The following is a 10268-nucleotide window of genomic DNA, read 5'->3' on the forward strand; positions in this document are numbered from 1 at the left end:
TGTGACTTCAGTTGGTGTGAACATTATTTTACTCTAACGACATGGGTCAATCTTTATAGAGTATCAACTATCATTTTAGATTATTTCCACTAAGGTAATATTTAATGTTAAACGTAAATTATTAACACTAATTAAGCAGTAAATGTATAGCACATTTTCATGTGTGGAATGATGAAAGTTTATATCCACTTTGCCAGTAAAACAATGTTGGCCTGTGTTTGTGAAATCTTTTCCTTTAGTGTTCAGACACCATACTCTGCTAAAACAGCTTCTACATTTATGGAAGATACTTTTCAGTCAATTTTGTTTCCTATTTATTTTTCTCTTGCTCTTTAAGTCCTCAGAATGCAAGTATTTTGTTTCCTCTTTATCACCTATCTCGTCTTGGTAAATAAAAAATAAAAATTGTGGAATCAAATAACACTCTTGTAGCTATCCAAACCTACAACTCCCTACTCCTTCCTAAGCTATAGAAAAGTATTTTGAAATGATCATCGGCTAGCTCTATATCCTGAGTCCATCAACAACCTAAATTCACTTTATGCATACCTGAACCTCTCTCTTCATAGCAAACTTATATAGTCAGTTCATATGATTAATAAAATTTTTTTATGCAAACTGGAAGCATATGTTTCAGCAATACAACTGAATTATATTAAGCCTGTGAGGTATGAAATGTTTAGGTTCTGTGAGCATTCTATGTCCTTTCGCATGCATGTTTTTCTACAATGCTGCTTGCTCTGCATGATCCTACATGCCTTGTTCTACTTACTCTATGTTTTACTATATTTGGCTTAAAATAAATGTCTATAACATTTGTGTCACACTGTGATGAAAGTCATTTTTTGATGTCTTCACATTTTGGTTCATCATAGATCCATTCTCTGATATCCCATATGAATTCCTTTATCATTGTTGGAGAATATAAAAGTCAATTTGCCTTAAAAAAATCTAAAGAAATTGGAAAATGGGCATAGTGTAAAGAATCACTACCTAATAAAGATAAATATCCTTTGTAAAAACTGCATAGAAGCTTATCATTTTTATCTACTAAGGCAGCTCAAAGATTATTCTCTCTTTTCAGATCTTATGAAACTGTATAATGCGAATTTAAAAGTATTTGTTACTGCAAGGTGTTAGTTGGTCTTAAGTACCACTAATAATATATATTATAGCAAGTTATTCTACCAAGAAATGGTAATTTCATATATATCTTGACTATTTACATTGAAACATATTATTTGCTGATTATAAAGGAAACCTATTTCCCACGCAGAAAATTGGAAGATATAGAGAGGCGCAAATTAGACCATAATCACATTTTATTACACTATCCTGAAATAAACATTTCTTAACACTGGGTCTATATCTTTCTAATAATATAATAATTTTATTATAAAATTTTAATAACATACCTACAATAAAGTAATATCTACATGTTTAAAATGAGACAAGGTGATATGAGTATGAAAAATAATATTTATTTTGCCCACAATCATATTACATATCATAAAAAAGTACAAAAAAAAGTAAAGAAATCAGTGTAAATACAGGCACCAAAACCATTTTTTAAAATCCATTTTCATATACTTTGCATTGCTTAACCAACTTTAATTTGGAGATATCTTTTTCATCATCCTCAGAGCAAGCAAATGATCCCAGAAAGAGAGAAACACATTCAACAAACAAAACCAAAGCCCAGTGGAATTAGGTTGTTTCTAAAGAAATAATATCCAAGACAAAAAAAAATTAATGTCAACAAATAATTTGTTTGTATACCATCATTTTAAACACGGTTATGTTTGAGAAGGCTGCCTACATCTTGCAGATTGGAAAGAACAAGTCACAGTGCCCTCCAGTAAGGCAAGGGCTTATTTGCAAAGATTTTGTCTGAGAACTGGAAGAATCTGCACAGAAGGATCCTACGTATGGCTGCTCATCCCAGGATCCAAAGAGCATTAATAGCTGGGTAAGACTTAGACTTACAGACACAATATTGCAGTTAAGAGCATAGAGGCAGAGAACCCTTAGGATCAGTAATAATCTGAAGTTAGTTAGAAGAAATGGTGATGGAGGAGTAGGGTAGAGTAACCACGTATTTCTTTGTTGCTTGTTGATAGAGAGAGCTAGAAAGGAGATCAGGTGCCAGACATGACAGATTTCTGGGTAGGGCTTTCGTTTTCCAGAAAGAGCAGGGAATTTTAATGGTCAGCAATGACAAAGAAACCAAGAAGAGAAAACATAAACTGTAAATCAGGCCAGAATAATGGTCAGAGAAGGTAGTATTTATTTATAGAAGATATTATTCTGGAAGTCAGTATGGTTTGAGGAATGACCATTGAGTTTGGAGTTAGATACATCTGAGTTTTAATCCTGACAGTTGGTGAATTTCTGTAATCCTCAAGCTCCTCATGTACAACACAGGATAATTTATGTAGAGTGATTATTGTAGTTTTCTGAATAATATAATAATACAAAGAAGATTTGCTTCTTTCAATCTTCATTTTCTCTGTCTAAGGGTCTATGAACCAAATATAAGTGCATTATCTCAGGTTTTTGATTGGGAAAGATTAGGGAAGAGGATAGTTCAATTAAAAAAACCCCAAAACCAGTAGCTGAACCACTGTATTCACATTCTGAAACTGTCATTACCCTAAGTAATTTTAATGAGGCAACCAGGGCTACTAATTTTGTCATGATTCTTTAAAAAAATCAGAGCAGAGGCTGGGCGCGGTGGCTCACGCCTGTAATCCCAGCATCTTGGGAGGCGGAGGCTGGCGGATCATGAGGTCAGGAGATCGAGACCATCCTGGCTAACACAGTGAAACCCCGTCTCTACTAAAAATACAAAAAAAATTAGCCGGCTGTGGTGGCAGGCACCTGTAGTCCCAGCTACTCAGGAGGCTGAGGTGGGAGAATGGCGTGAACCCGGGAGGCGGAGCTTGCAGTGAGCTGAGATGGCGCCACTGTACTCCAGCCTGGGTGACAGAGCAAGACTTCGCCTCAAAACAACAACAACAACAACAAAAATCAGAGCAGAATAGAATCCATAAAAATTATCTGTTGAAAATGTGCATTTGTGAGGAACAGAGTAAGGGCAAAAAACAGCAAAAAAAAGCAAGATCTAAAGGAAATTCATAGGTTTATTTTAGAATATGAGGGAATAAAGAGATAATGCACTTTGTATGTCCAGCTTCTTTGTTTAACTGAAAAGGCTGAGAAATGAGATTATTTTTCTAAGGTATAAAATGCAACAATAAATATGGAGTTAAAAATTGTATTTGTTGGTTCCTAGTTCAAATATTCAGTGCAATATACAAAGACAACTCCTTAGTTTTCCAAGAAGAAAAAGAAATTCTGAATTAGTATAAAAATTGTAATTATAGACAATATTATTCTGTGTCGAGATGTGGAGTTTTCATGGAAGTTTTCTAATATTTTTAAGACAAGTTTTAAGGGAGGATAAACTTCAAATAATATTAATGGATTTAAATATCATTATATAGAAGGAATTAACAATATTTCCTACCACTGTTTATTTTTAAAATAGCATATTACAATTTTTATTCAGTGTGCTAAATGATTTTTTTTTATTATTTTGAGACTGAGTAACCACATTAAGAAGAATTTATGAAAAAGGAAAAGCAATGATACAACTAAGTAGAGTATCTTATTATTAGTTATTATTTACACTGTTATGGGCTGAATGTTTGTATTCCCCCAAAATGCATTTGCTGAAGCAATAACCATCAGTGTGGTTATATTTGGAGATCAGACCTTTAAAGAGGTAATTAAGTTTAAATTAGGTCATAAATGTGGGGCCCTGATTTTATGGAAATAGCATCCTTATAAGAGATACCTGAGAGCTTGCCTACTCTCTCCCTCCATGCTCAGAGGAAAGGCCATGTGAGGACAAACTGGTTGTCTGCAAGCCAAGAAGAAAGCCTCCACCAGAAACCAAACCTTGTCAGACCTTGATCTTGGACTTCCCCGCATCTAGAACTGTAAGAAATAAATTTCAGTTAAGTCTATGGTATTTTGTTACGACAGCCCACATTGACTAATACACCAAACCAAGACAAAGCAAAAGAGTTGTTTGCTATATACAACTAGAATTACTTCTCATATCCAAAATCAGTTTCTGCCCTTTCTTAATACTCCAAATTATATCTTGTTGTCCTTCAATTTAATTTGATTAACCCAACTCATTTTTAACTGTATTTTTTCATTTACTGATCCATCCATCCATTCATCATTTTACTCCACCTACGATCTCTCCTTTTAGATACAGTAAATTTTAAAAAATACAAATTTTACATCATCAGTTGTTTTAGTAAATTCATTTATGTATTAACATCTGTCTACCTGATCAAATCAAAGAAGTTAATTTCCACCTACTTTTCCTTTAGCCCACACTTACTTAAAATCACTTATTTTTAATTTTATGCAAATAATATGGCAGAAAATTGAGCATGAGAAAGTAAAATTCCAGATATATTTGTTTTCTCTACCATCAGCTGAAACATTTTATTCACGTTGTCTTTAAGTAAATGCTACAGTAATATTTTTACAAAAAAGTAAAATTATTTTAATATCTCTACATACTACTAGGATATGTTTTCTTAAATAATAATTACATCATTTTAAATTAGTACAGGTTTTTAAAAGAACAAAAGCTATCCAAATCACTATATAAAATTATCCCTAAAATATATAAAGAAAATAATATTTATGGCTAACTAGATATTTAATTAGGTATGTAAATGAGTGTTAAGCCTAACCTACTAAATTGAGGAAGAATTTAATTTGATTAAATGTATTTTAAGTGTTTTATTTATACTTTTATTGACTCATATAGAAAAGTTGTGTGATATTGGCTACTAATATTATGTATATGTGCACTTATTTAAATATTTATGAAACACTTGGTGCATTTACTATGTGCCAGATATTATGTGAAATACATGAATGACAAAGTTGAAAATAGTGGATTATAGCCTTGCTCTGATTTTTTACATGTGTCTGTTCTTAACTGGACACTGTGATATTCAAGAACAGAAAATGAATGCTAACCATTTTTTCATGCAGTCCCTTCAGAATAGTTCCTAATACCTGGCAAATAATTAATAAATAGACAATAACCAAATAGATAAATGTATTAATAAATAAAATAATGAATTAATGTCAATTAATGACACTCAACCTATGATAAATGCTATAAATTTGTAGTAAGTTACAATTAACATTGTACATAAAGATAATTGAGGAAAGCATGAATAAAGCGGATAAGGAGTGTCATTTTAGAGTTTGAAAGAAACTGTGCTTCAGTCTTATCTGCTTCCCTCGAGTGCACATGTTCTCAGTAAGATTGAACACACCAACTTAGAAGGAGTCAATATTCATTGACCCTTTTCTTCTATTTCCTGGAATTCTCCTTTGTGACTTCTGCTTGCCCTCCAATCAATTTGTTGGATGCCTGAGAACAATTTTATCTGGGAACTTTAAGAAGGGACTTTAACCTGGTAGCATCCTAGTTCTGACAATGTCCAAAATACTTTTTGCTTTTATCTATTTGATGTTCCTTTTCCCTTCTGATAATAAAGTTTCTCCAATTCTTAATGTATATGGTTTAGGTTAGGTTAGGTACATGCCCAGACCTGGCCCATCAGAGTCACAGGCCCCCGATATAATGATTAAATCTCTATTAAATCTCTATGTGATCTCTTGAATAATACAATTGTATGTGAGTTTTATTTTGAGCTTGTAGAAAAAAAGACACAAACTCTCGAAAGAATTGTTTAACTGTTAGAATATAAGTTTGGTGCTGCCTGTTACCATTTCTACCACTGCCTAGAAACAGCCTTCTTGAGAATTAGATCAAAGGGTTTGAAAGCAGGGTAGGAGAAGCAGAGCTCAGAGATGTAAAGGAATATTGCCCCAATAATACATGTTATGTTTTAGATCCAGCTGTGTTTGAAGCCAGCTTTACTACGGACTTCCTTGTTACATAGGGTAAATAATTTTTTCCTTCTTATTAAAATTGCAGTGCAAGTTAGAAGCCTGTCCTTCACCATTCCTGGGTAAAAACTAATTGATGTGAACCATATGACTCCAAATTTCTGTCAGTGAAAAGAGTCAAATTCAGCAAAAAATTTGAAGAGATTTATTCTGAGCCAAACACAGACAGAGCCCTCAGGAGATCCTGAAAACAAGTGCCCAAGGTGGTTGGACTAAAACTTGGTTTTATACATTTTAGGGAGACATAAGACATCAATCAATACATTGGTTCTGTCTAGAAAGACAAGACAACTAGAAGTGGGGGCTTCCAGGTCATAGGTGGATTCAAAGATTTTTCTGATTGGCAATTTTTTGAAAGAGTTATATCTAAAGACCTGAAATCAATGGAAAGCAATGTCTGGGTTAGGATAAGGGGCTGCGGAGACCAAGGTTTTATCATGCAGATGAAGTCTCCAGGCAGCAGGCTTCAGAGAGTATAGACTGTAAGTGTTTCTTATAAGACTTAAAGAGTCTCTTCTACCAGTCTTAAGGTATCCGTGTTGATGTTAATGATGGTCAGCTGTGAGGCATGACCTCTACTTCTCATCACGGCCTGAACTAGTTTTTCAAATTAATGAAAATACCCTTGGCTGACAGGAGGGACCCATTCAGATGACTGGGGGACTTAGAATTTCATTTTTGGTTTACATTTCCTAATAGAGAATGCATGTGTAAGTTCAAATAGTTGTTTTTATAGACTGTGCCAATGCAAACATTAATAATGTTATTTCAATGTGAGTTTGGTAAAAAATAATTTATAAAAACTTTAAAATTAGAAATTGAGGAGACAAATTTTCCATGCTTATGTCTCCATATACAAGCAAGGAAGGAAGTTCACTTATATTTCATTCTATCAAAATATCTACTGTTTATATATATAAACTGTATATATACATATAATCTGTGTGTGTATATATATATGTAGTTATGGCACATTGTATGGTGTGAACACAGATTTAAGTCCGGTTATTTATATAAATATTACACATATACACACATATATATGACTCATAACTCTGTTTAAAATGACTTAATTCTTTTACCTTTTCATAATAATAATTAAATTTTACTCATGCCATATACTAGATATCATAATTTATGCCAACCTTTTCATAACTCTCAATTTCCAAATGTAATGTTTCTACTTTTAGGGTATTTTGTAGTAATAATAAAGCTAACAACTCACCTCTCTACCCCTCAGTCACTGAAAACACACACACACACACACACACACAACACACACATGCATGCATAAACACAGCCCCAAAACACTCACATCAATAACTGAGAAAAAAATGTTAAATCAGCTTGGGTTTTACATGTGTTTATCTCAAATACTTTCTGTTCTTCATGATACAATTTTTTAAATATTGGCTTACACATACACAGACACACACACACACACACACACACACACACATACATATACACACAAAATCCAAAAAATCAATTGCTGAATTCATTTATTCATTTTACAGTTTTCTTAGGTCAAGTTCCCATGAAGGAACTTCAACGGGCATCAGCAAGATGCTGGAATGTAATTTTTGCCCCAGAGTCTGTTGCCGACAGAGTCTGTCTGGCAAAGGAGTCAGGCTCCAGGGGAACTTAAGTCCGAAGCATGGCTAGCTATCTGCTCTTCTACTAGAACAGGACAGTCCTCCTAAGAGGAGTAGTAAATGAGGCCCTTGGAAGTGAAAGCACATGGAAGAGGACTTAGAAATAGTATGAGGAAACATGATGGATATGGGCAGAGTGCTGAAAATGCCCCACTACAACAGTAAAATTAAAAATCTCGAACATCTTTCTTTATTGAATGAGCTACATTGAAATGTAGAAGCACAAGCAAAGTATACTAATAAAAAAGTAATAAATTCCATAAGACATTAAAAAATATTTAGATAAAACAAATTGTAATCAACTGAGAAAGCATACTGATATAACATAAACAGTTTTCTTGAATTTGAATGTAAAGAATTATTTGCATGTACATTTAATTACTTAAATGGTACCAGATTGTTAACGAACATATTTACACCCTATTGTTTTTTTTCTTTTTTGAGATGGAGTATCGCTCTTATTGCCCAGGCTGGAATGCAGTGGCGCAATCTCAGCTCACTGCAACCTCCATCTTCCCAGGTTCAAGCAATTCTCCTGCCTCAGCCTCCTGAGTAGCTGGGATTACAGGAGCCCGCCACTATGCCCAGCTAATTTTTTTTGTACTTTTAGTAGAGACGGGGTTTTACCATGTTGGCCAGGTTGGTCTCAAACTCCTGGCCTCACTATCCGCCCGCCTCAGCCTCCCAAAGTGCTGGAATTAAAGGCATGAGCCACCGCGCCCCGCCTACACTGTTTTTTAATGGCTAATAATTGCTATTAAGCAAGCCATTTGCTGCTGTTACTTTATCATTTTAATTTATCTTTACTCCTTCTCCATCTTTTTCTTTCTCATTCCCCTCGTCTGTTCCATTATTTTCCCCTTCTCCCTTTTCTTCTTAATTCTTCTCCTACTTTTACTTCTTTCTTTTCTTTCTACATTAAATTATTAACTACTACTATCAGAGCTACTGTTACCAGAAAGGGGTCCTGATTCAGACCCCAGAGAGGGTTCTTAGATCTCACGCAAGAAAGAATTTGGGCGAGTCCATAGAGTAAAGTGAAAGCAAGTTTATTAAGAAAGTAAAGGAATAAAAGAATGGGTACTCTGTAGACAGAACAGCAGCATGGGCTGCTTGACTGAGTATACTTAAAGCTATTTCTGGATCATATGCTAACAAGGGGTGGATTACTCATGAGTCTTCTGGGAAGGGGGTGGGGATTTCCTGGAACTGAGGATTAGATCATCTAGGGTAACTTCCAGATGTTGCCATGGCATTTGTAAACTGTCATAGTACTGGTGGGAATGTCTTTTAGCATGCTAGTGAATTATAATAAGCATGTAATGAGCAGTGAGGATGACCAGAGGTCACTTTCATCACCATCTTGGTTTTGCTGGGTTTTGGCCAGCTTCTTTACTACATACTATTTTATCAGCAGGCTCTTTGTGACCTGTATCTTCTGCTGACCTCCTATCTCATCCTGTGACTAAGAATGCCTAACCTTTTGGGAACGTAGCCCAACATGTCTCAGCCTCATTTTACCCAACCCCTATGCAAGATGGAGTCACTCTAGTTCTAATGCCTCTGACATCACAAACACAGCCACCAACATCACTACAATCACCATTTAATAAAAAAAATCAGGTATTAATTAAAAATATTTCCCCTATAATTTACACATTGTTTTTGTTTGTAGAATATAGTTCATAAACAGTGATTGCTATATATACATTTTTTCTTACATATATATGTATATATATATATGTAAGAAAAATACTAAGAGTTATGATGTAATTATTGCTGGAATGGATGCATACACATTCACCTATGAACTCAAACTTGAGGACCGATAGAAATAGAAAGATGTATGAGGTGAATGTGAGGAAAGTTTGGTGTGTTTTGTTTAGTTTTGTTTTGTTTTTAGAAAGTGTCTCATTCTGTTGCCCAGGCTGGAGTGCAGTGGCACAGTCATGGTTTGCTGTAGCCTCAAAGGCCTGGGCTCAAGTGATCCTCCCACCTCAGCATCCCAAGTAGCTGGGACTATAAGCATACACCACCATGCCTAGCTAATTTTTAAATTTCTTATAGAGACAAGGTCTCCCTATGTTGCCCGGTGATATGGTTTGGCTATGTCTCCACTCAAATCTCATTCTGAATTGTAACTCCCACAGGTTCCACATGTCGTGGGAGGTGATTGAATTATGGGGGCAGGTCTTTACTTCACTGTTCTCATGATAGTTGATAAGTCTCACAAGATCTGATGGTTTTAAAAATGGGAGTTTCTCTGCACAAGCTCTCTCTTTGCCTGCCACCATCCATGTAAGACGTGACTTGCTCCTCCTTGCCTTCCACCATGATTGTGAAGCCTTCCCAGTCATGTGGAACAATAAATCCATTAAACCTCTTTTTCTTCCTAGTCTTGGGTATGTCTTTATCAGCAGGGTGAAAACAGTCTAATACTCCCAGTCTGATCTTGAACTCTTCCCAAAGGGCTAGGATTGCAGATGTGAGCCCCTGTGCCCAGCTGGAAGTCACTTTTAATGTTATATTTATTAATATGGATCAATAAGGTCTAAGAGTACTGCGATATTCGGAGGTAGAGAGATTTGCTTCAGG

The 10268-nt window shown here is 34.9% G+C and overlaps 1 annotated feature.

The window, feature by feature from the left end:
* Positions 8719–9013: an enhancer, noted in NCBI's record as "tiled region #9245; HepG2 Activating non-DNase unmatched - State 24:Quies, and K562 Activating non-DNase unmatched - State 24:Quies". NCBI's record gives its function as "activates a minimal TATA promoter and a strong SV40 promoter by Sharpr-MPRA in HepG2 and K562 cells {active_cell/tissue: HepG2 | K562}" and the evidence as "EXISTENCE:reporter gene assay evidence [ECO:0000049][PMID:27701403]".

This window comes from Homo sapiens, chromosome 3, assembly GCF_000001405.40.
Source record: "Homo sapiens chromosome 3, GRCh38.p14 Primary Assembly".
Classification (NCBI taxonomy): Eukaryota; Metazoa; Chordata; class Mammalia; order Primates; family Hominidae; genus Homo; species Homo sapiens.